The 26,901-nt window shown below is 37.1% G+C and overlaps 2 protein-coding genes across 8 annotated transcripts in view; one reads left to right on the top strand and one right to left on the bottom strand.

Annotated features, from left to right (window-relative positions):
• KLRG1 (killer cell lectin like receptor G1) overlaps positions 1–26,901 on the bottom strand; it is a 265,527-nt gene that overhangs the window by 120,382 nt on the left and 118,244 nt on the right. The window lies entirely within an intron of this gene.
• Positions 1–26,901, top strand: part of A2M (alpha-2-macroglobulin) — a 48,522-nt gene that overhangs the window by 21,041 nt on the left and 580 nt on the right. For all 5 annotated transcript variants that reach the window (NM_001347423.2, NM_001347425.2, NM_000014.6 and 2 more), the window contains 18 exons: positions 105–216; positions 1,610–1,724; positions 3,760–3,988; positions 4,707–4,833; positions 5,166–5,287; positions 5,938–5,989; positions 15,012–15,095; positions 15,374–15,550; positions 15,858–15,945; positions 17,332–17,488; positions 17,769–17,843; positions 18,253–18,433; positions 20,406–20,629; positions 22,318–22,536; positions 22,703–22,830; positions 24,611–24,701; positions 25,376–25,444; positions 26,347–26,449. In NM_001347423.2, the coding sequence (NP_001334352.2) occupies positions 105–216; positions 1,610–1,724; positions 3,760–3,988; positions 4,707–4,833; positions 5,166–5,287; positions 5,938–5,989; positions 15,012–15,095; positions 15,374–15,550; positions 15,858–15,945; positions 17,332–17,488; positions 17,769–17,843; positions 18,253–18,433; positions 20,406–20,629; positions 22,318–22,536; positions 22,703–22,830; positions 24,611–24,701; positions 25,376–25,444; positions 26,347–26,449 (2,353 nt within the window). The remainder of the gene's footprint in view (positions 1–104; positions 217–1,609; positions 1,725–3,759; positions 3,989–4,706; positions 4,834–5,165; positions 5,288–5,937; positions 5,990–15,011; positions 15,096–15,373; positions 15,551–15,857; positions 15,946–17,331; positions 17,489–17,768; positions 17,844–18,252; positions 18,434–20,405; positions 20,630–22,317; positions 22,537–22,702; positions 22,831–24,610; positions 24,702–25,375; positions 25,445–26,346; positions 26,450–26,901) is intronic.

The raw sequence follows: 26,901 nt of genomic DNA, 5'->3' as shown, positions 1-26,901 counted from the left end.
ATTTAAGTTAACTGGATTGCTTGTCAAATTCAATAAAAAGAAGTAGCTACCTATGTATATTTTATAATATATATTTACTGATTAGATGATAATTTTCTTTGCAGGACATGGGCTTAAAGGCATTCACCAACTCAAAGATTCGTAAACCCAAAATGTGTCCACAGCTTCAACAGTATGAAATGCATGGACCTGAAGGTCTACGTGTAGGTTTTTATGGTAAACAAAAAATTAATAAATATATATTGCCTAATATATTCACCAAATTTTAAATTTTTTAAAAGATACAATGTGACAAAAATTAACAAACAAAAAGGACATGTGAGTCATACATATTAAGGTTATTGCTCAAGGTCATATAGTAATATAAACTCAAATTCTAGTAAATGGAGGTACATGTGTTAGGCTGAAAGGAAAGAGAAAGTTTCCAAGCGTAGGATTAGTGTAAACAGAAATAGAAATGTTCACACAACAACACTACATTCTCCATCAGTCAGGTAAAAAAGCTGTTCAACTTCCCCAAAACATCAGCCAATATTTATGTTGGAACCACACACATTCATCAATGACATGAGCTACTTCTTTGATGAACTGAATAGTAATCAAGCATTTATTTATAGTCCCATATTGTCAAATCATGATTGAGGATAAGTTGAGTACAGAGAAAAGAGGGTCAAAAATCAAGGAAAGCATTTAAGGAGAATCAGTTGGCTCTATGGAATTCACTATGAAGCCTACCGCATATTTTATTATTTATAAATTATATTGTATAATCCTTTATCAGTAAGATATATAGTAAATTTATGCATGTATAGGTATATATATATATATATATATATATATATATATATGCACAATTTTTTTTTCCAGAGAGCTGGTTGTGAAATATTGACCAGCACACCCTTAATAGAAGGTGAATAGAGTGAAGGAAACTAACTGTAATCTTCTGACACGATAGAGAATAAAAAGTCTTTATTATTATTAAACTTTTCCCTCCTGTAAACTGTTTCTCAAAGCCACTGTCATAACATGTGTGTCAGTTTTTCCTTGCTCCTGCAGAGGAGCACACCAATGGAAACTTGGATTCCTGCCCCTCTTCACGGCCTTGTGTCATAACACTCTCCACTTAGCACAGCGGCAGCAGCCACATAGGACTCCACAGAGTCCTTGTGCCCCACAGACAATCCAAGCCTCTGTCTGCCAAAGTCTCTATAGCCTCTGCTTATGACCCTCCTCCCCCAGCTCACTCCTAGCTTATTCTTGTTTTTTTTTGTTGTTTGTTTGTTTGTTTGTTTGTTTGAGACGAAGTCTCACTCTGTCGCTCAGGTCGCCCAGGCTGGAGTGCAGTGGCGCCGTCTCGGCCTCGGCCTCTCAAAGTGCTGGGATTACAGGCATGAGCCACCGCGCCCGGCCTCTCCTGGCTTGTTAAGTCAACCAACATATTTCCTCCTCAAAGAAGCTTTCCTTGATGACCCAAGCGCCCTCTCCTCCTTCCTCTCTATTTCATCAGACGATTTGTTTTTTGTTTTTTTTTTTTGGTGGCAACTATTACATTCTCTCATAAGCTTTATCTGTATGTTTATTGTAATGTCTTCTTCCTCACTCACCATAGAGTCAGATGTAATGGGAAGAGGCCATGCACGCCTGGTGCATGTTGAAGAGCCTCACACGGAGACCGTACGAAAGTACTTCCCTGAGACATGGATCTGGGATTTGGTGGTGGTAAAGTAAGTAACTTCCTGCATATGCAATATGCAACAATAGAGGTCCCTGACTATTTTCAACTCTTTGCTAGTTTTTCTGTTTTTATTGTTTTATATGTTTATGATGTACAACATGATGTTTTGATATATATATATACACATACACATAGTGAAATGATTACTACAGTCAAGCAAATTAACACATCCATTAGCTCACATTGTTACCTATTTTTGTGTGCATAGCAAGCACACCTAAAATCTATCCTCTTAGCCAAGTTTCAGTATCCAATACAGTATTATCAACTGCAGTCCTCATGCTGTACTTTAGATTTCTAAATTTATTCATCCTACGTAACTTCAACTTTGTACCCTTTGACCTGCTTCTTCCCATCCCTGCAACCCCAACCACCTTTCTACTCTCTGTTCCTATGTATTCAACTTCTTTTAGCATCCACATACAAGTAAGATCACGCAGTACTTGTCCTGTGTCTGGCTTATTTCACTTAGCATAATCTCCCCCAGGTTCATCCATGTTGTCACAAGTGGCAGGATCTTCTTCCACTTAAGGCTGAATAATATTCCATTACGCATAGCCACAATTTATTTATCCATTCACCCAGACACTTAGGTTGTTTTTATATCTTGGCAACTGTGAATAATGCTGTAATGAACACCAAAACACATATATCTCTACAAGGTGCTTATTTCATTTCCTTTGGGAGTATACCCAGAAGAGGGATTTCTGGGACATATGGTAGTTTCCATTTTAAAATTTTTGAGGTATCTCCATACTGTTTTCCATAATGGCTGTGGCAATGTACATTTGCACCAAGGGGAGTGAACAAATTCCTTCCAGAGAGACACTGGAAACAGAGTTTTATCCGTGAAACAAGCCAGTGGGGCAGGTGGAGAGAAAGAGCCGGAATGGCCATATACTCCCTTTCAGGCTCCTGGAGTCTTGTTTACTTCTCCCTTTCACTCCCAGATGCAGGCTGTTTAGAAGCCCAACCCTTAGGAGACAGCCAGAAATGGGAGATTTTGCCTGTTCTCTCTGTATTGAGCCAAGGGGTGGTGGGGGCGGGTAGCCACTGGCATTGCTCAAAGGCCTATTTAAAACCACCTCTGTGTTCACTGTGGTCTAGGGAGACTCCTGATTGCAGAGCTCCATCTACTCCTGGAGCTAGGTGATTTAGGAGCCAGACCCTTAGGTACGAGCTGTAAACATTGGGGTGCTTGATGCATAGACAAATTATTCCCAGGGGTATGTTCAGACCTGGTTTTATCCGTGGGGCGAGCCAGGGGAAGGAGGCATGGGAAGTGCCCTTACTGCTTTTCAGCCTTCCTGTAAGTCTGTCGTTTCCCTGCTCCTTCTGCTTCCCAGTGCAGGCTAGTTAGAAGCCCAACACTCAGTCAGCAACTGATAAAGTGGGTAGACGAAGCCCTTCCAGGGAGAAACTGGGAGCTGTTAGCTAATTTTTCAGTACTGAAGTACTTCTTTCAAACGCATTGCTAATTTCAGGAGATGTTTAACATAAATACATCAGCTAAGAAGTCTTACTAATCTAATTGCATCAGAGCTAAAAAATTTTGTGCAAATTTAATTCTAAGATTTCCAGAAAATGGGCATAAGGACCTAATACAACCAAGGACTGCACAGATTGCCTGTAAGAGATCCCTCACTGGTTAGCAATCCTGAGTTAAATACAGATTCAGTCAGGCCCACTATACACAATAGTAGTAGAATTTAAAATTATAAAGCAGCCCTCAGTGAAATAGCATTTTAGAGAAGAGAACTTAAGAACAATCTCAAACTGCATGTTAAATTTATAACTATATTGTCTGTAAAAGATTATGCTACAATTCTGATATACTACAATTAAAAACAGTTGGAAGAAAAGGACTTATATTCCCATCTCAATCCTTGATTATACTCTCCATTATTGGTATTTCTATTGAGTGTTTTTAAGTCATGGCAGTAGAATCATTCCTAGGGATTCTCTCCCTAGAAAGGATGTATTTAACTGCTTACTTTCTGTTCTTCACTTACACTCCTCTCCAGCTCAGCAGGTGTGGCTGAGGTAGGAGTAACAGTCCCTGACACCATCACCGAGTGGAAGGCAGGGGCCTTCTGCCTGTCTGAAGATGCTGGACTTGGTATCTCTTCCACTGCCTCTCTCCGAGCCTTCCAGCCCTTCTTTGTGGAGCTCACAATGCCTTACTCTGTGATTCGTGGAGAGGCCTTCACACTCAAGGCCACGGTCCTAAACTACCTTCCCAAATGCATCCGGGTAAGGATCTCTTTCCTAAATTAAATACAAGGTAGCCATCAAGTAAATTAAAAGTTGCATTCCTAGGAATACTGCAAACTCTTGTATGCAAAATATGCTTACTAGATATTCATGATTGTAAAAGTTACAGGTTTTGAGATCTCCAAATACCAAATTGCACCATAAAGCAAGTTTCTAGCCCTTATAACCCTTCAAAGTTAGTATTTGTGTGGTATGAAGAATTCTGACAGGGGTGACAAAAGTCAGTACTCTATTCTCATGACAGATTCTACAAGGTTTCAACCTCTACGATCTCATATATTTAACTTTTCGTAGCTCATTCATTATATTAAACCTAATTTTAAAAGTCGTTTGTGAGCATCTTACCTTTGCTGAAACCATAACTGTTTATAAGTCTTGTATCCTCTGCCGGGAGATCCGGGGGAATGGTCAAAGTTCCAGACCAAAGAGGTAGAGCAGCATGCCATCATTACCTTTCCCTTCCTCTGGTCCCATCATGTGAAAGAGCAGGTTGCTTCCAAAATAACTCAGATTTACCTGTGTAAATCTGATACATTAAGATCCACTTAAATATATTTCAGGTACTTGATCTTCATTTATATCATCTTTAATGTGAGGCAACCTGAAATCTAACCAATTCCTCAAGATGCTTTACTTCAAACCCATTCTCCCTCTGTTCTCCTTCCCTCTCTACTCCCTTTCTTATGTGTGGTTTCAGGTCAGTGTGCAGCTGGAAGCCTCTCCCGCCTTCCTAGCTGTCCCAGTGGAGAAGGAACAAGCGCCTCACTGCATCTGTGCAAACGGGCGGCAAACTGTGTCCTGGGCAGTAACCCCAAAGTCATTAGGTGAGCAAAAAACTGCTAGAGATAATTCTCTACTCAAAGATTGTATATGGCAGTGGGAACCTTATATTGAGTGCTACTTCCTTCAGGAAAAGACCACTAGATGCTGCGATTTTTTTCCTTTGCCTTTTATTCTAAGATGCCTACAAGGATATCCTCAACATCTCCACCTTGAATTCTCAGTATCATTCACCTCTCATTTGCATGTTTCCGTTCCTGCTTCTGTGTTTTAATAAAACAAAAGTTTACAGAGCATTGAACATTTCTAAATCTTGAGTTTGGAGGCATGGAGGAAGGGGAAGATGCTATTCATTTCTACTGGCCTTTTTTTTCAGGAAATGTGAATTTCACTGTGAGCGCAGAGGCACTAGAGTCTCAAGAGCTGTGTGGGACTGAGGTGCCTTCAGTTCCTGAACACGGAAGGAAAGACACAGTCATCAAGCCTCTGTTGGTTGAAGTAAGTAAACCTAAATAATATATAGTCCACAATAATATATAATATATGTGGGTAATATAATAATATATGGATATTTTATAATATTATTCTCATGTATCTCTCTGTCCTATCTCTCTCTTGATTTACTTTCTGTTTTGTTGGGGGTTTTTGTTTTTGTTTTTGAGGCAGAGTCTTGCTCTGTCATCCAGGCTGGAGTGCAGTGGCAGGATCTCTGCTCACTGCAACCTCCGCCTCCTGGGTTCAAGCAATTCTCGTGCCTCAGCCTCCTGAGTAGCTGGGATTACAGGTGTGCACCACCACGCCCAGCTAGTTTTTGTATTTTTAGTAGAGACAGGATTTCACCACGTTGGCCAGGCTGGTCTCGAACTCCTGGCCTCAAGTGATCTGCCCACCTCAGCTTCCCAAAGTGCTGGGATTATAGGTGTGAGCCACCATGCACAGCCTCCCTTTGATTTACTTTCTTAATTTTTCCTTCATTTGTTCATGCATCGAACTACCTCCTACGTATATTGCTTATATGTACAGAATTTTCTTAGATAATACAGTTCAAATCCTTCTCTTCACTATCCAAATATCTGTGGTCCCTCCATTAAAACACATGTTCTGAAGGTCAGTCCATTCTCACTAGCTTTTCTTTCTTTTACCTAAAGCCTGAAGGACTAGAGAAGGAAACAACATTCAACTCCCTACTTTGTCCATCAGGTAAGAGTCAACCATCATAATTTAAAAAACATTAAAGTCTAACATTTAAAGTTCAAAGAACATTTATATATTATTCCTACACTTTCTCTGTGATCTAAGACCTGAAGCACCATCAATGCATTTGACAAATGTGGAAAATAGTTCTTAGGAAGGCCAAGTAATTTGATCAGAATATCCCTAGGCCTGCATTCTGAGTCTTGATCTTTTGCAGCACCTGTGCAAACACCAAATGACTTTCTGACCAGTGTATGGTATGGGCATAGGTAGAAAGTGGGTAGAATCAAAATTAATATTACCAAAAGGGATGTTTCCTTAAATAATTAATAATGCAAACTATGGACGGCTGAATTTAGGGCATTCTAACACTGAGTTTTACATAGCCAACAGTATTTGATAACGGGATTGCTATTTCCCAAAGGAAAAGTTGTCATGGCCTTTACCATTATTGTCATATTAATATCTGTTTGATGCCTATCCCGTACCTAATGCCCTATCAAACATTTGAGAAGGAACTGAAGAAACTTACAGGAAAAATTTAATACACTAAGAAATTTATCAGCACAATGCATTCTCACCCCAAACCAACATTGAATCAACATCATACATAGGTTCATTGCCTTTCTCTGACTACCTACAAATTTAGTATGTTTTTCGTACTAAATACTTTATCTATTCATCTGTTGCCAAGATGTAACACATAAAATGTACCCTAAAAACATAACTTCCTTGTCATTTAGCCTTATTTCTACATTTAAGTGAACTGATTACCTATCATTCAATCCTTTTATCATGACTTCTCCGTTTCTGAGTTACTCATTTTGATGTATCTCTTAAGTGTAAGGGCTAATCATCAAATAGTTTTACTAAATTTCATTTTAATTACCAACATAATCAAATGTGCCTACCTAATTTTACAAAAATATATTCTTCTTTAAAAAAAAAAACAGAACATCACATTAAAGGTTAATGTCACCCCCCTGAACATTTTTCAGTACTTTGCCATCCATTTATCTTTAGAAATAATGTGTGTAGATGTATATGTTTGTGGATGTGTGATTTACATATAATAAACTGTATAAGTTTCATTCTATAAATCACTGTTTGTTTTTCACTCAGCATCCTGTCTTGGAGATTTACCTATGTTAAATTGTAGATCTAGGTCTTTCCTTGGAATTGCTTTTAAGCCTATAATATAAATACATCACAATTCTGCTTAGTGTTTTAGTCTTCCTATATTGGTTTTTTCAACTATTCACTAGCTTTAAAAAATTAGTTAGTTAATTATAATAAGAGCCTCTTAATGAACATATGCAAGTACAGCTAGGGTAGATCCAAAATGTTAAATTCCTGAGTCAGAGAGCATATGCATAGATATGCATAGTTTTGTTTGGTTGGTTGTTGTTGTTGTTCTTTAATTACATTGTAAACTGACCATTTATAATTGTATATATATACAGCATACAAAGTGATGTTATGATTTATGAATAAAATGTGAAATAATTAAATCAAGCTAACCTGAAATACTTATGTTTTGTGGTGGGAACATTTGAAATTCTCTAAGCAAGTTTGAAACATAAAATACACTATTATTAACTATATTCACCATGCTGTGCAATAGATCCCAAAAAGAAAAAAATGTATTCCTTCTGTCTGAGACTTTGTGTCCCTTGAACACCACCTTCCTTTTACTCCAGCTTCATCCTCCATAACCACCATTCTACTCTCTGCTCCTGTGAATTTGAATGTTTTAGCTTCCACATACAAATGAGAACATGCAATATTTGTTTTCCTATACCTGGCTTATTTCACATAACATAATCTCCTCCAGATTTAATCATGCTGCCATAAATAGCAGAATGTTCTTGTTTTTTAAAATGGAATGGAATTCTATGTGTATATACCAAATTTTCTTTATCTGTTCATCTGTTGATGACACTTATGATTCCATAACTAGACATCAGTAATTTGTTAGGGATTACATTCAATATGTAGATTGCTTTGGGTAGTGTGGACATTTTAACAGTATTAATTCTTCCAATCCATGAACATTGTATTTTTTTTCATTTATTTGTGTTCTCTTTGATTTCTTTCATCAGTGTTTTATAATTTTCACTGTACATTTCACCTCCTTGATTAGATTTATTTCTACATATTGTTTATAGCTATTGTAAATGGGATTGTTTTTATTTCTTTCTCAATCATTCATTGTTAGTGAACAGAAAATACTACTGATTTTTATGTGTTAATTTTGTATCTTGCAACTTTATTGCATTCATTTATAAGTTCTTGCAGCCCTTTGGTGAAGTCTTTTGAGCTTCCAATATATAAGATAATGTCATCACCAACAGTGAAAATTTTACTTCTTCCTTGTCAATTTGGATATTTTTCATTTCTTTTTCATGTTTGATTGCTCTTGCTGCTACTTCCAGTGCTACTTTGAAAATAAATGGTGGCAGTGGGTATCCTTGTCTTGTTCCAGATCTTAAAGGAAAGTCTTTCAATTTTCCACTGTTAAATATGTAAGCTATAGGTTTATCATACATGCCCTTTATTGTGTTGAGGAACATTGCTTGTATATCTAATTTGGTGAGAGTTTTATCATAAAAGAGCATTGAATTCTGTCAAATACTTTTTCTCCATCTAACAAGATGATGGTATGGTTTTTACCCTTCATTCTGTAAATGTAATGTATCACATTTATTGATATGCATATGTTGAACAATTTTTGCATCTCAGGGATAAATCCCACTTGACTAGGTAGATGATCCTTTTACTGTATTGTTGGATTTAGTCTGCTAGTTTATTTCGTGTGGTTGGTTGGTTGGTTTAGTTTTTTAAGTGATGAGCTTTTGCTGTGTTCCCCAGGCTGGACTTGAACTCCTGAGTTCAAGCAATCCTACCACCTCAGCCACCCACAGGTGTATGCCACCATGCTTAGCTGCTATGCTAGTATTTTATTGAGGATTTTTGCATCTATATTCATCAAGAATATTGGTCTGTAATTCTTTTTTGTAATGTCTTTTTATGACATTGGTATCAGGGTAATGCTTGCCTCATAAAATGAGCTTGAAAGTATTCCTTCCTCTTCCAGCTTTTGGCAGAGTTTGAGAAGGATTGGTATTCATTCTTTTTAAATGATAAGTAGAACCTAGCAGTGAAGCCAACAGTTATTAGGCTTTTCTTTAATGGAAAACTTTTTATTACTGATTCAATCTCTTTACTCATTATTTGTCAGTTCAGATTTTCTATTTCTTCATGATTCAGTCTTGGTAGTATGTATATGTCTAGGAATGCATTCATTTCTTCTAGATCATCCAATTTATTGGTGTATACTTATGCATAATAGTCTCTTATGATCCTTTGTATTTCTGTGGTATCAGCCATAATTTCTCTTTCATTTCTGATTTTATATATTTAAGGCCTCCCTCTTTTTTCTTAGCTAACCTAGCTAAAAGTTTTTGTCTGTCTTTTTAAAAAAACAATTCAGTTTCATTGATCTTTTGTATTCTTTTTCTAGTCTCTATTTGATTTATTTCTGCTCTAATCTTTATTATTTTCCTTTCTTCTGCCAATTTTGAGCTTACTTTGTTCTTCTTTTCCTACTTCTCTGAGGAATATCATTAGTATCTTTATTGGAAATTTTTCTTCTTTTTTGGTGTTTATTGTTATAAGCTTTCCTCTTAGAATTGCTTTTACTTTATGCTATGTTTTGTTATGCTCCATTTCCATGTTCATTTGTCTTAAGATATTTTTGAATTTCCTTTTAAATTTCTTTATTGACCCATTGGCTGTTCAGGAGCATGTCATTTAATTTTCATATATTTGTGAATTTTTTCTAATTCCTCCTGTTACTCATTTCTAGTTTTCATAGTATTGTGGTCAGAAAAGATACTTGATACGATGAAACGATTTCAGTCTTCTTAAATTTGCTAAGACTTGTTTTGTGGGCTAAAATATGATCTATCTTGGAGAATGTTTCTTGTGTGCTTGAGATGAAATGTTCTGTATGTATCCATTAGGTCTATTTGATCTAAAGTGTTGGTCAAGTTCAACGTTTTCTTATTAATTTTCTTTCTGGATAATCTATCCATTTTTAAAAGTGAGATGTTGAAATTCCCTGATATTACTGCATTGCAACATATCTCTCCCTTCAACCTTTAATATTTGTTTTATATATTTAGGTGCTCCAATGTTGGATATGTATAGATTTACAATTGTTATATCCTTTTGATGAATTGACCCTTTTATCATTATATAATGTTCTCCTTTGTCTCTTTGTACAGTTTTTGACTTTAAGTCTGTTTTGTTGAATATAAGTATAGCTACCCCTGCTCTCTTTTAGTCCCCATTTACCTAGAACATCTTTTTCCTTCTCTTCACTTTCAGTCTATGTGTGTCCTTAAAAATTAGGTGAGTCTCTTGTAATTAGCATATGTTTCGGTCCTGTTTTTTTAAATCCATTCAGTCACTTTATGTCTTTTAAATGGGGAATTTAGTCCATTTGCATTCAAGGTAATTATTAATTTAAAAATGACTTGGTACTACCATTTTGTTGTTTTCTGGTTGTTTTGCTTCTTTGTTCCTCTTTTGCTGTCTTCCTTTGTGGTCTGATGTTCTGTAGTGGTATGATTTGAATCTTTTAAAATTTTTGTTCTGTGCTTCTATTAAAGATTTTTGCCTTGCTGTTACTATGGGGTTTACAGTCAATTTCAAGCTGATAACAACTTAACTTTGCATTCTTTCACTCCCCCACACACATTTTATGTCGTTGATGTCAGAATTTACATATTTTGTAATGTGTATTTATTGACAATTTATTTTTAGCTATGCTTGTTATTAATATTTTGTCTTTTAACCCTTGTACTAGAGATAAAATTGCTTTAAATACCATCATTACAGTCATAGAGTATTTTGAATATGGCTCTATATTACTTATACCATTAAATTTTGTGCTTTTGTGTTTTTGTATTATTAATTAGGGGCCTTTTGTTTCAGCTTAAAGAACTCCCTTCAGTAATTCCTGAAGGCAGGCCTAATGTTGACGACTCCCTTAGCTTTTAGTTTGTCTGGGAATGTTTTATTTCTCCCTCATTTCTGAAAGACAGCTTTGCTGGATGAAGAATTCTTGATTCCATGTTGTTTTTATTTTTGTTTTCCTTCAGTACTTTGAATATATTATTCCACTCTCCCTCAGCCTGCCGGGTTACTGCTAAAAATCCATGGATAGTTGTATTGGAATTCCTTTGTATGTGATATGTTTCTTTATCACCTTCTGCTTTTCAGAATTTTTTTTTGTCTTTGATTTTTGATAGTTTAATTATTGTGTCTTAGTGAGCAGTTCTTTCATTTGAATTTCACTGGAGACCTCTGTGCCTCCTGTACTTGGATGCTAGCATCTATCCCCTAATTAGGGAAGTTTTCAGCCCTTACTGCTTTTTTTTTTTTCTGATTCTATACTCTTTTTTTTCATTATTGCTTTAAATGTGCTTTATAGTCTCTTTCTTCTTCTTCTGGACTTTCTTTAATGCAAAGGTTTGATTTCATGATGATGTCCCATAATTTCCATAGGCTTTCTTCATTCTTTTGTCTTTCTGCTCTTCTGCCTGGATAATTCCAAATACTCTATCTTTGAGCTCACTGATTCTTCTGCTTGATCAAGTCTGCTGTTGAGCTTACTTTGAATTTTTAATTTTAGTCATTGTATTCTTTATTTCCAGGATTTCTATTTGGTTTCTTTTTGATTGTTTCTATTTATTTTTTATTTTACAATATTAGCTAAGTTGCAGATAATTGTTTCTATTTCTTTTTTTTTTATACTTTAAGTTCTAGGGTACATGTGCACAATGTGCAGGTTTATTACATATGTATACATGTGCCATGTTGGTGTGCTGCACCCATTAACTCGTCATTTACATTAGCTATATCTCCTAATGCTATCCCTCCCCCATCCCCTCACCCCACAACAGGCCCCGGTGTGTGATGTTCCCCTTCCTGTGTCCAAGTGTTCTCATTGTTCAATTCCCACCTATGAGTGAGAACATGCGGTGTTTGTTTTTCTGTCCTTGCAATAGTTTGCTGAGAATGATGGTTTCCAGCTTCATCCATGTCCCAGGAAACAACAGGTGCTGGAGAGGATGTGGAGAAATAGGAACACTTTTACACTGTTGGTGGGACTATAAACTAGTTCAACCACTGTGGAAGTCAATGTGGCGATTCCTCAGGGATCTAGAACTAGAAATACATTTGACCCAGCCATCCCATTACTGGGTATATACCCAAAGGATTATAAATCATGCTGCTATAAAGACACATGCACACATATGTTTATTGTGGCACTATTCACAATCGTTTCTATGTCAAACTTCTCAGTTTGTTGGTGTATTGTTTTGCAAATTTCATTTAATTTTGTATTTATATATTCTTGTAGTCCACTGAATTTCTTCAAGAGGATTATTCTGAATTCTTTGTCAGTGATTTCATAGATCTTTATTTCTATGAGGTCAATTTTTTGAGCTTGGCCAGTTTCTTTTGGAGGTGTCATCATTCCTTGATTCTTCATAATCCTGTGTCCTTGCATTATTTGTGCATTTGAGGAGAAAGCCACTTCTTCTGGTTTTTATAGGTATTCTTTGGCAGGGATAAAGGTTTGCTATTTAGTCTAGCCTATAATTCTGGAAAGATCAGTTGGTGACAACCTTGAGCAGGCAGAGTTTTCATGGGTTCCCTAGTTGGCTGGGCCACTGCCTTTGCTCTTATGTTTGGTAGGGCCACTGGTTGGGCCTTGCTCTCTGGCAAGATCACTGTTTTGTCTCTGCTATCTGGTGGAGCTGCTGGCTGGGTACTACAATGGCCTCTGGTCAGGCCAGTCACAAGATGTGTTGCCTGGCTGGATGATTCTGCTATTTGGGACCTGAAGTTAGGCAGGGTCACAATCCGGGCTGTGAGGTTAGGTAGAGTTGTTGCTTGGGATGGGCAGAAATAAATACTATACTTCTTAGATGTGCATAATAGAGGATTGCTACCCCACCCTTGTGAATGGAGCCATGGAGTGAGGTTTTGGCTGAGTTGAGCTACCCTTTAGACTCCCAGGTCAAGCATATTTAACCCCTACACTTCTATGAAATACACAGAGGTGGTGTCTGCTACCTGGGTGGGGTCACTGGCATAACCTCTGAAGCTGGGCTTACAGACTGGCCATCTGGAAACTCAAGCTAGGTTGAACTTCCCAACATGCTTCTGAAAGTGACCAGCTCAGTTTTGCAGATGGGCTATGCAGTTGGCTGGTATCTCTGAATGGGTGCCATAGCTGGCAGAAACACAGAAGCACTACCAAAATCCACATGCTGGTCACTGTGAGCTCTGTCCTTCTTTGTTTCTACCTGACCTCATTACTTCCTGTGTTCCCGGTGAAATGAGACCAGAGTGGGCTTCCTGAGAAGTGTCTTTGAATACTTGAGAATCTTGATGTCTACCCCTGGTTCTCTTCCCCGCTGTAGAAACTGTGACCCCAGGGAACTCCTCTCTATCTGGCATTGTGCTAACCTAAAGGAGTGGGAACAATGACATGGTCAAAGTGAGACCATTCTTCCTACTCTTCTAATTTGTCTTCACTCAGTTCTATGAACAATGTAGGTGTCCTAGACTTGTTTCCAAGTATTGGGGTTTTCAAAATAGATTTTCTGATCTGTGGATAGCAGCTAGTTGGACTTTCTGTGGAGGGAGGAAGATCCTGAGACTTTCTAGTCCATCATCTTGCTTTATTCTGAATTTTAATTGAACTACAAAACGAAAATCCTCCTCTTTATTACCTAAATGCATTTATACTTCCACCAGGATACATTTCCATAGTGTTATATTTGCCATCATCTGTTACCATCAAAGTTTTTAATTTTAATTTTTGCCAAAAATTTAGAAAAAAAAATTTTGCTGTTGTTTTAATTTATATTTTCTTAATTACAAGGATGACCTTATTTTTGCATGTTTATTAATTGCCTTTATAATCTTTGGCTATTTGTCTTTTGAGTAGTTTTTTTCTGACTCAGTTGTATGACACTAATTCTTTATCTGTTGAATATGTTGCAGATATTTTCTTTCACTTGGTCATTTTTTTAACTTTGTTTATGGCATCTGTTTTTTTACAAAAGTTTTAACATTAATTTTATGAGAAAGGGAAGATAACTGCTACATTTTTCATTTGTATATAATTCACCAATACTAAAATTGTAGTAAATGTATGTTCATCAGTAGCAGTTATTTTATTTTCAGTGAGTCAAGCATTTTATTTTGCTTAGCCATTTGTCCTTTAACTATGCTTATGGCTTTTTTTTAAGAAACATTTTAATATGAATTTTATGAGGAAGGGATTCAGTATGAAAATAAATACCATACTTCTCTCATTTTCATTTCATATAATTTACCAAGATTAAAATGGAAGTAAATGTATGTTCATGAGTAGTAATTATTTTATTTTCAATGCATCAAATACTGTTCGTCTTCACTTCCTTACCCTCAATTTTCTAGGTTTTCCATAAAAATACTATCTTTGTATATGAAATTTGAAGAAAGAACATAGCATTATTATAGAATTCAGGACCTTTTGTGGGTAATTTTACTTATGTATACTTATAGGGCTTTGTTGTTGGTGTTTTCTCCATACAACTGTTGAGTAAGGAAGTTGGTGGTGGGAACTAAATAGATCATCTTGTGATAACCGTCTTGTGTCAGCCATCAGATGACAGCAACTGAATCACAACATCACCAGGCTCTTACAATTTGTTGTCTTATTTGGCATGCGATTCTACATAAATTACTGAAAAGATCATTGAAGAAGAAATTCTGAAAATCACAGGAAACCAGTAGCCCATTTTTAAGATATTTATATATTACTGTTGTATTAAAGGCGGACAACTTTTCAGGAGGAGTTTAGGTATAAGGCATAGTCCTAGCTTCTGGGTCATAGAGCTGTTTAGAAAGATATAATGCAGAAATAATTTTCATATGTCTGATTTGCTTATTTCTCTAGGTGGTGAGGTTTCTGAAGAATTATCCCTGAAACTGCCACCAAATGTGGTAGAAGAATCTGCCCGAGCTTCTGTCTCAGTTTTGGGTGAGTCTCCAGCCCCTAGTGGATCCGGGCATTAACAGCTTCTATTATACTATTTTTATTTCCCATAAATATTTACTAAAAATAATACTATAATTTTAACTTCTTTCTTCTCTTCTTCTTTGGGCTTGTTTATTGCTTTCAATCATACTTCTATCCCTGGAAGAATCATCCTTCCTAAAAATTCTCAATTTCTAAGCTCAACTAATTATTTCTGCTTAATGACTTTGATAGATGATAATCTCCAAGCTTTATGACTTCCCATCTCTCCCATTCTCTAGGAGACATATTAGGCTCTGCCATGCAAAACACACAAAATCTTCTCCAGATGCCCTATGGCTGTGGAGAGCAGAATATGGTCCTCTTTGCTCCTAACATCTATGTACTGGATTATCTAAATGAAACACAGCAGCTTACTCCAGAGATCAAGTCCAAGGCCATTGGCTATCTCAACACTGGTGAGTGATTACTTGAGTAAGGGAAAACTTGAATGTTATTTCAACTGGATTTCCCAGTAGGTTTCAGTTACTTATGAATATTATGATACATTAGCTTAGCTCACTATGATAGCTGCTATGATAGTTAATTTCAAGGAAACTATCCACTCTCCAACCTCCAATAAAATATTTAAGGCTCAGAAACTCCTAATCTATGACAACAAAATTTAAGAAATGTCACAAGAGAAGCCAAGGTACTTTTAGTAATTTCTCCACCCTCAGCATGCACATTAATCCATTGTGCTGTTTCGTTAATCTTCCTTTCCAGGTTACCAGAGACAGTTGAACTACAAACACTATGATGGCTCCTACAGCACCTTTGGGGAGCGATATGGCAGGAACCAGGGCAACACCTGGTAAGGAAAGAACAATTTTTTGAGCTTCTTTTTGTGTGCCAGCTCTTTTACATGTATTACCTCAATTATATTCACAGCAACACTATCAGATATGTATTATCAGACCGATGGTTTGTTATACTAGATAAATCCACCAAGATTAGCAAGGTAATCAGAAGAAAACCTGATATCCAAATACATGTTATGTTAGGCTTGTTTCCAAAATGGATCCTATTAATAATGTACCAAGGTTTTCTTTCTGAAATGGCTATTCTTTCTAAAGTAGCTACCATAACCATGAGTTTTAAAATGATATTGCCAGTGAACATATATAACTTCCAGATAAACCATGTTAACTTCAGCTTATATTGTCACATTCTAAGTCATTCAGCTTGACTTGGAATGAATTCATTAATAAGAGGAAACAATTGAGAAGGAAACAGTAATATAAAACATTTTTTTAAATCCCTAAAGTAAAGCAATATTAAAATTTACTGCATGTAAGAGCTGCATGTGAGAAGATTCTGTCATCTGCAGAAGGAAATCTCTAAAGATAAGAGAGATTTAAAGCCTTACTCAAGTAACTAACAAAAATAAGTACATTCAAATTACTTGAATGTAAATTTGTTCAACCATTGTGGAAGACAGTATGGCGATTCTTCAAGGATCTAGAACCAGAAATACCATTTGACCTAGTAATCCCATTACTGGGTATATACCCAAAGGAATATAAATCATTCTACTATAATGACACATGCACATGTATGTTTATCGCGGCACTATTTACAATAACAAAGTCATGGAACTAACCCAAATGCTCATCAATGACAGACTGGATAAAGAAAATGTGGTACATATACATCATGGAATACTATGCAGCAATAAAAAGAAATGAAATCATGTCCTTTGCAGGGACATGGATGAAGCTGGAAGCCATCAGCCTCAGCAAACTAACACAGGAACAGAAAACCAAACACCACATTTCTCACTCATAAGTGGGAGTTAAGCAATGAGAACACACGGACACAGGGACAGGAACAACACACACCAGGGCCTGTTGGGAGGTGTGGGGTGACGGGAGGGAACTAAGCGGATGGGTCAATAGGTGCAAGAAACCACCATGGCACACGTATACTTATGTAACAAACCTGCACGTTCTGCACATGTATCTCGGAACTAAAATAAAATTAAATATACTAAGACTCCCTGTGGCAAAGAGAGAGTTAGCAAGGAAATACTACATCTAGCAGATTAATCAGGCAGACTAAAGATTAATCAAGGAGATAAGCTCTCTAAGTACACAAGAATTTTGTTAGCTAACTCACATCATATGAAGCCTGTTGCTGTGAAGTGGTTATAAAACCATTTTGACAACATAAACATCATGATTGCTTCCTCCCTGGTCAGGCTCACAGCCTTTGTTCTGAAGACTTTTGCCCAAGCTCGAGCCTACATCTTCATCGATGAAGCACACATTACCCAAGCCCTCATATGGCTCTCCCAGAGGCAGAAGGACAATGGCTGTTTCAGGAGCTCTGGGTCACTGCTCAACAATGCCATAAAGGTGAATCATTCTGGAGCTAGTTTTGATTTGTCCATTATGATATCTGCAAGGATGAGGATAGGAAGTGATAATGTGAAAAATTCTAAGGGAAAGCCTCAGAGGAAAATAAAACCTGGATGGCACCAAAAAAGAGGGGATAGAACAAAAGTTGATTGTGATACTTTGCCCTATAGGGATGGATATGGGTAAGGATGAATTCCATGACACAGCAGAATAGAAAGAACTAATCAATAGCATTCTCAGAAGTTGAATTATTCAGATCTCTCTCTCGTATTCACAGGGAGGAGTAGAAGATGAAGTGACCCTCTCCGCCTATATCACCATCGCCCTTCTGGAGATTCCTCTCACAGTCACTGTAGGTACCACCCCATTCCTCTGCTGAAGGAGAGTTCTGGATGCAATGAAACTGCTGACCTGCTGTCTGAAATACTATCCTATTAAAAGCAAAGCATCAGCTTTCTTTCTATGCAATGCCAGTGCTTCCCAGATCTACAGAGAATTTGGTCAGCCCATTAAGAAAGGTTTAAATTTTCCCAGTAATTCCCCTAGGCTATTTACCACCACCACTCAAAAAAGAATCTTAAAGATGTATCTTTTGAATGTGAGAATAACAGATAAAAATAATATTATATCTATTGATAAGAATGAGGAATCGTTGGAAAAATGCGTTTGAAAAACTTCTGTGCTGTGATCCGTGTATTTGCCTGGGAATGCTAATATGCCTGTTTACATAGCTTAGTTCCCTTCTTGTTCTGCCTTCACAGCACCCTGTTGTCCGCAATGCCCTGTTTTGCCTGGAGTCAGCCTGGAAGACAGCACAAGAAGGGGACCATGGCAGCCATGTATATACCAAAGCACTGCTGGCCTATGCTTTTGCCCTGGCAGGTAACCAGGACAAGAGGAAGGAAGTACTCAAGTCACTTAATGAGGAAGCTGTGAAGAAAGGTGAGAGCACACCTGAGATCCTTCTCCTGGCCCATCCTCTGTATCAAGAACTGCATGGCAAAAATCCCTCACTCCTACCTCCTGTGATCCCTGTCTCCTCTCTTCTTTTCTATATATCATATATATTTTGTCCATATTGCATCTTATAAAATCTAGGATTTCTTAATCAAATCAGAAATCAGAAGACAAGAGGCCGTGCAGATGCTTCTCAATTACGATGGGGTTATATCCTGACAAACTCATTGTAAAGTCTAAAAAATCTTAAGTGGGACCATTGTAAGTCAGGGACCATCTCTATAGTATGCTGGTAAGAAGAGCATTCTCTGGAGACTAGCTCCAAAATGTGCTACCTATGTGAGCTTGGGAAAGTCATTAACTTCCTTGTGTTTCAGTTCCTTCATCAGTAAAATGGGGATAATAATAGTATTTACCTCACAGAGCTGTTGTAATAAATGAATTGGTACACGTAAAACACTTAGTAGAGTACATGTCACATAGCAAATCCTATAAAAGTACTAGTTATTACAATTAACATATCAGTTCTCAATATATGCCCAACCCTTACCTGGTACATTATATAACCTTAAACATAAGAAAATAATCATGGAAGTAACTCCTTGAATGAATTCTGGTATTTTAAGCCCATTTCATAAGACCAATAATGTTGACCAATCTACTCATATTCACACAGTACTTCTACATATACCATGGTCTATATGAGCGGTTGAAGAAATAGAAAATAAAATGCAAATCACAAGATGTCCATTAAAACAGTCTACCTTTTTCCTTTGACAGCCATTAATTCTTCTTAAAATGTATTGAGAAATATTTTATAATAGATATACAAAAGGGCATAAGCTATAACTAGAAAACACTGTACAACTCTCTCATAGATTAAGAAATAGAAAATTACCGACATGGGAAAAATAAATCCCTTGTGTATCACTACCACCTCCAGAGGCAATCATTATCCTGAATTTGTCGTTACAATTCCATGGATTTCCTTATATTTTTGCTGCATATGTATCCCTAACTAATATTTAGAATCTTCACATGTGTTTCATCTTGAGAGAAACAAGATTTTTATTTCTCTCTTATTCAAGAAACAAGAGAAACATTTTTGAATATTTCAGCAGCTTAGTTTTTTGTTTGTCTGCTTTTTATTTTCTAAGTTCAACACTATGTTGATGAAGACCCCTATACAAGTATGTGCAGAGTCAGCTCATTAATTTTCACTGCTGCATAATATATTACAGTCTATAAATTAGTCATAATTTACACATCGAGTTTCTCCTCATGGATTTTTTTTATGTTTTGCTATTAAAAAAAATGCTGCAATGAATACTCATGTGCCTGTTTTCTTGTGCATCTGTGTTTCTCCAAATTATGCTTTGAGAAGCATAATGACTGATTAGTGGGCTAAGCACATCTTCCCCATTGCTGAATATTGCCAAAGAGCAGTTGGCTTCCCACAGCAGTGTATATTGGTTCCCATTGTTTCACATCCATGTCAGCCTTTGGTATTTCAAGGATTACTGTATTTTTTTTTTCAATTTAATGAGTAGAAACTCTACTATTTCATGTGATCTGTGATCCTCACAAGAAACTGATAAAGACACACTTTATAGGAAATGTAACAAACTCCAGCTATAGTCTAATATAACATCATAAATAGGAAATAGCCAGACTCAATGAGACAACTGCTGTGCCATTTCTTTCTCCCACCAACCCGACTATAGCAACGATTTGAAAACATAGATAGGCATAGGCTTCTGACTCCAGCATCAATATCTGCCTTAGCTGGGCTAAAACACACCAAATTCAGATTTACATGAAGGGAAAAGCATCTACATACAGTACAGGGGATTATAATGGGCATGCAATTCTCATTTCAGCACTGGCTTGGGTACTTTCACCTTGAATTAAATATAAATATGTAGGCACTTATAAATATCTTTTTCTCATCTTTAAGACAACTCTGTCCATTGGGAGCGCCCTCAGAAACCCAAGGCACCAGTGGGGCATTTTTACGAACCCCAGGCTCCCTCTGCTGAGGTGGAGATGACATCCTATGTGCTCCTCGCTTATCTCACGGCCCAGCCAGCCCCAACCTCGGAGGACCTGACCTCTGCAACCAACATCGTGAAGTGGATCACGAAGCAGCAGAATGCCCAGGGCGGTTTCTCCTCCACCCAGGTTGGTGATTTGCCAAAACCTTTTATTTCACCTTCAGGTAGCAAAAGATTTGAATGAAAAAGAAACAAACACATCCAAGAAGAAAAAAATACAGATGACAGTAACTTGAAATGAGGAAAAGTTTTCAGTATCCAAGGATAATGGAAATAAAAGCAAATCAAAGTCAAAGAGGGCCAAAAGGAAATGCTCAGAATCCCGGCACCCCATCGCTGTGTTATTATCCATCTCCTATTTCCCATAACAACACTGCCTTCCTCAAGCAGCAGTGGAGCACCAGCAGAATGAAGGAGATGTCTCCTGCCATTCTCCTGAAAGCTCTAGGGTCTCTTTCAAACTGTTCAAAGGAACTCTACTCAAAATCCAACAACCTCTCCTCGCAAATCTCTCCATTCTTAGGTCCCCTTTAATAGGCTTTTCTCAAAACTACACATTTTGTGCTTCCCCTATTCACCTTTTTTTTTTTTTTTTTTTTAAGACAGAGTCTTGCTCTGTCACCTAGGCTGGAATGCAGTGGTGCAATCTCGGCTCACTGCAACCTCCATCTCCCAGGTTCAAGCGATTCTAGTGCCTCAGCCTCCCAAGTATCTAGGATTACAGTCATGTGCAATCATGCCTGGCTAATTTTTGTATTTTTAGTAGAGACGAGGTTTTGCCATGTTGCCCAGGCTGATCTCGAAGTCCTGAGCTCAGGCAATCCATCCGCCTTGGCCTCACAAAGTGCTAGGATTATAGGTGTGAGCCACTGCGTCCAGCCCCCTATTCACCTCTTAATACACAAACATTTATTCATCAGGAGCATAAAGAACTGTCTTTATTCATCCAACCTCCTAAATCTAGCTATATAACCATGTATCTGAACAATTCATTGATATGTACACAGCAGAAAGTTTTATCTTCAGAGAATTCGGATGTTTGCTTATATACCCTAAAACGGAAAAAATGTGACAAAATGGCATTCCATCCTATTTCCATTGTATTAATCTTTTATCATATGAATGAAAAAAACTAAGTAATTTTGTTAAAGGTTATCATTCATTTATTAGAAACATATTATTTGAAGGAGGCCAAGCAGGTTTAATGTTGTTGAGGATACATACCAGCAGACATTCACTGGGAACAGGAAATCATCCAATAAAAAGGGAAAGCCAAATAAAAATGTCATTAAATCCAGAAGATAATTATAATACTCATCTTTTATTTCTTTTGGAGAAACTGAAGCATGACTCTGCTCATGGCTGCAAAGAACCTTGGGTTCTCTCCAGGACACTGACCTCAGCAACTGAGCAAAGTTTAATATGGGAGAGAGCCAGACTGAACTTTGCTTGAGTGGTGGCAGATATGAGCATAGTTGTCAAGAAAGACATGTTAGCAAATAGCTGATGCCAATAACTGATTGCCATTCACATGTTTTCCACATTCCATGTCCCACATATACTTACAGAGAGAAAAGGATCAATTTTCTGATAAATAAAATAAACATGTAGGGCATACAGTCCAAGGTAGATATGTGAATGTTATGGTTCTTCAACTATCTAAAGATTATAATCAATCTTGAAATTACAGCTCCTATATTTAAGTAGTGAGGGAAGTAGGAAATCAAAGTCCCTCACATGGGTCTTTGAAAAATATCTCAGCCCTCAAAGCCTTATAATGCCCAATGGGTTCTCTCACTCATCTGTCTCTAACAGGACACAGTGGTGGCTCTCCATGCTCTGTCCAAATATGGAGCAGCCACATTTACCAGGACTGGGAAGGCTGCACAGGTGACTATCCAGTCTTCAGGGACATTTTCCAGCAAATTCCAAGTGGACAACAACAACCGCCTGTTACTGCAGCAGGTCTCATTGCCAGAGCTGCCTGGGGAATACAGCATGAAAGTGACAGGAGAAGGATGTGTCTACCTCCAGGTGAGACTCTTGGGCAGGTGAGGACAGGACAGATGAGGACAGCAGCTGTTCTCTCTGAGAAGTCCTAACTCAGAAAACAATGGGACAGATCAGAGAAAGGGTTAGGGACGTGGACAGGAATTCTGGGAAAGGGCAAAAAACTGATTTTGTCTTTGATGTTCTATAGACATCCTTGAAATACAATATTCTCCCAGAAAAGGAAGAGTTCCCCTTTGCTTTAGGAGTGCAGACTCTGCCTCAAACTTGTGATGAACCCAAAGCCCACACCAGCTTCCAAATCTCCCTAAGTGTCAGGTAAGACCTTCTGACTCTATCACCTAATCCTAAGAATAACCACCAGTCTTCTTTCGGGAACTCCTCTTTAAGTAAAGCAGTGCAACAGTAGATATTTGCACTATTCACAAAAAATGCAATGTATTCTCTTAAGTTGATATAATTTCTCAATGATGGGGTTTACATTGTCCATCCAGGATCTACTATTGTGCAACCTCATTGTTTAAAGGGTAATAATTTCCCTCAATAACAACTAAGTAAATATTACCCATTGCCTCTGACCTGAATTCCTTGTTATGTAATGAAATCCTATATTATTCTTGCTTTATTGAAGATAGAGATGAAGAATTATTGAAAAGTTTGAATAGAAGGAAGTAGTGACTCCTTAGTTAGAATTCCTACTGGCAATAATAAATCTCAGGTTATATATGATATAATTAATTTGGGGGGAAGATACACTTATATGCATCAATATTTAAATAGCTGCAGATCTGATAAAAAACTCTCTCTCCACAAACATATTATTACTTGGTTGGAGATACTATTCAGGAAAAAAGTTAGGACAAAATACATGTAACAAATAACTGGCACACATCAAAAAGAATGAGATCATGACCTTTGCAGGAACATGGATGGAGATGGAGGTCATTATCCTTGGCAAACTAGCACAGGAATGGAAAACCAAACACTGCATGTTCTCATTTGTAAGTGGGAGCTAAATGATGAGAACATATGGACACAAAAAGGAGAACAACAGACACCAGAGCCTACTTGAGGGTTAAGGATGGGAGGAGGGAGAAGATCAGAAAAAAACAACAATTCAGTGCAAAATTTAGTACCCAAGTGATAAAGTAATCTGTACACCAAACCCCCATGACACGAGTTTACCTATATAACAAACCTGCATGTGTACGCCTGAACCTAAAAGTTAAGTATATATATATATATTTTTTTCATTTAATTTGGTGTATATATATGCCAAAAAATAAATTAAGCAGTCCAAATTTCGGATGCAAACTCTCGGGGACAAGACGCTAGGTGTTTCTAAGTGTTTTGTTGAAAGCCAGTGTTTAAGTAAACATTATAAATTATTGTTGTTTTTGTAAATAATGTAGACTGAAATTTATTATTCATAATATACATCATTTTGTCAGCTGAAAGAAAATAAAAGTAAACAAATAAATAAAATAACTGGCATAGATTAGAGGTCACAAACAGCCTGTGCATCACTTGTAGAGCTTTCTTAAAATGCAGATCCTCAGCCGGGCGTGGTGGCTCACGCCTGTAATCTCAGCACTTTGGGAGGCCAAGGCGGGCAGATTACCTTAGGTCGGGAGTTCAAGACCAGCCTGACCAACATGGAGAAACCCCGTCTGTACTAAAAATACAAAATTAGTCGGACGTGGTGGTGCATGCCTGTAATCCCAGCTACTCGGGAGGCTGAGGCAGGAGAATCACTTGAACCCAGGAGGCGGAGGTTGCGGTGAGCCGAAATCATGCCATTGCACTCCAGCCTGGGCAAGAAGAGTGAAAAACTCCATCAAAAAAAAAAAATGCAGATCCTCAGCCCCCATACACTAGACATTCTGATTCATCAGGTCTAGAGTAGGGCCTGGTCTCTGTGGCTTTAACAGGCTTCCTAAAAATTCTACGCACACCACTTTTACAAACCACTGGGATAAGATATTTGGGAAGACTTACGTGTACCTTTTAGAGCTGTGGAATGCTTAACATGGACATAGAAGAAGAAAATATTTAAAAACACAGAAAACCCTAATCCTTTCCTCCCCTGGATCCTCAGTTACACAGGGAGCCGCTCTGCCTCCAACATGGCGATCGTTGATGTGAAGATGGTCTCTGGCTTCATTCCCCTGAAGCCAACAGTGAAAATGGTAGGTTTATCATAACCCCAGACTGCCCTATTTTATTTAATGATGTATGTATCCCCAGCATAAGACAATACTAATATCAAAATACTATTAAAGTCAATCTCTATCAAAGCCTTATCCTTTTTCCAGCTCAGAAATATAATCACATGTGTTTGTATGAATGCTGACCATGTGCAGAGCACTGTGCTAGGACCCATGACTACAAGAAAAAGATTGTCAGCAGGTTCCTGCTTTTCAATTTCTTCTTAGCTTAGAATTTTGCTAAGAAGATAAAAGATATGAACACGAACCAGTGAAAAATATGAAAATGACTGATTGGCATAAACTATAAGTATTACAGAAGTTAAAAGAAAAATAGAGCAAGCAAAACAGGAAAAAAACTCCTTATGAAGAAATAGAAACTGAATTGAACTTTGAAATATGAGTAACTACCAAGTTTAGGATACTTAGCTGTCTTTTCTTCAGATAAATAACTTTACACATTAGTCGTGTGTTATACTAATAGTAAACCCTTTATGCCTTTCATTTTTAATTGTATTACATTATATATTTCCTTACAAAAAGCATTTGAAGAATTCTACCCTCAGGGTTATTTTGGCAATACAAAGATTTTTTCTCTGGATCCCCCAGGGGTTTCATCTATTTATTAACATTTGTGGTATTTCAATTTTCTTCAGCTTGAAAGATCTAACCATGTGAGCCGGACAGAAGTCAGCAGCAACCATGTCTTGATTTACCTTGATAAGGTAAGAGAACTTCCAGTCTATTTGCAAAAAAACGTAGATAATAATCCTCTAAGGGAACATCTGGGAAGGTAAATGCATTTTAGAAACATCACTTCCATGCTAGAAATTTGAGAATTCTAATGTTAACTCTAAAAGAATGTTCTTCTCTCCTTTATTTATATTTCACCAGGGATTACAGGTAGAAATGGCTTATTATGATCTTGGGATATGAATATTCCTAAAATCCCATAAGCAAGAAATCTTCACAAAATGTGTTTATTATGTTGACAAGTTTTTTGGATACCCAGTAATATAAGGAAGTAGCCCTTGTGATTAGTCAATTATTAGTTAATTATCAACATACTCAACAACAATATGAAAGGGAAAAAAAACTGTCAGTCTCCACAAGGACTTGAACCATAAAATAATAAGACCAGTTCACCAGTAAACCAATCTGATTTTATAGATATGTGTGGTAGGAGAGTTTGTTCATGCATAAGTTGATGGGAATTATAGTTTACAAATTTTATGAAACTTAAGCCTGGGAAGATCAACCTTTTAGATGCCTCTTTGAGTCTACGCAAGTATTCCTGCAAGACAGAGAAGTCAAACTATACCAAATCTCTGGATATTAAAAAATGAACACAGTTAGTCATCCAATAAAAAGTATATATCATTTACCCCCATGAACAGAGCTATGTATTGGCATTGACAGAGGTATATGCGTTATGTTAGTTATTTAAGAAATAATCTGGAGAATTTATCATCCCCTCTGAGAGATTTCTGCACAATTTAATTAAGGACCCTATAGTGTGCTGTAGGATAATAAAGCTTTTCCCCCAAAAAACAGGTGAATACTTAAACTAATTCAAAGAGAGAAGAAAGCTTCCTGAAAGGTCATTTAATTGACTTTTGCTTTCCAGGTGTCAAATCAGACACTGAGCTTGTTCTTCACGGTTCTGCAAGATGTCCCAGTAAGAGATCTGAAACCAGCCATAGTGAAAGTCTATGATTACTACGAGACGGGTGAGTGAGAGTGATTTTCACGTAGAAATATTTAATTCCTGATCACAGAAATTCAGGTTTAGGAGATGTGTTGGGGTTATTTATTACATTAAGTAATTACATTATCACTTCATTTTGTCTCCATCAAGTCTGATGCCCCTCTTTTTGTCTCTTATACATACATTATAGAAACAACCTACATTATAAATTTATCAACTACTAATACAAAACACCTGTGGGATATTTAGTTCCCTTTTCATCAGATAAATGGACTGTATGACAATATGAGATTTAAGTAAGTAGAACATCTGAAGAGTCCTTCAGGAGTTTGGGATAAAAGAATATATAAAACACTATATTTGAAAGGAGAATATAAGGTAGCAAGCAACACATCAGATGAATGATGCTTATGTTTCTGGTACAATACTGTTCTTCCCACAACAAACTCCTTCCTTGGCCTGTATCCCACAGAT

This window comes from Homo sapiens, chromosome 12 (assembly GCF_000001405.40).
Source record: "Homo sapiens chromosome 12, GRCh38.p14 Primary Assembly".
In the NCBI taxonomy this organism is placed as follows: domain Eukaryota; kingdom Metazoa; phylum Chordata; class Mammalia; order Primates; family Hominidae; genus Homo; species Homo sapiens.
This window is presented reverse-complemented; position numbering and strand designations above follow the sequence as displayed.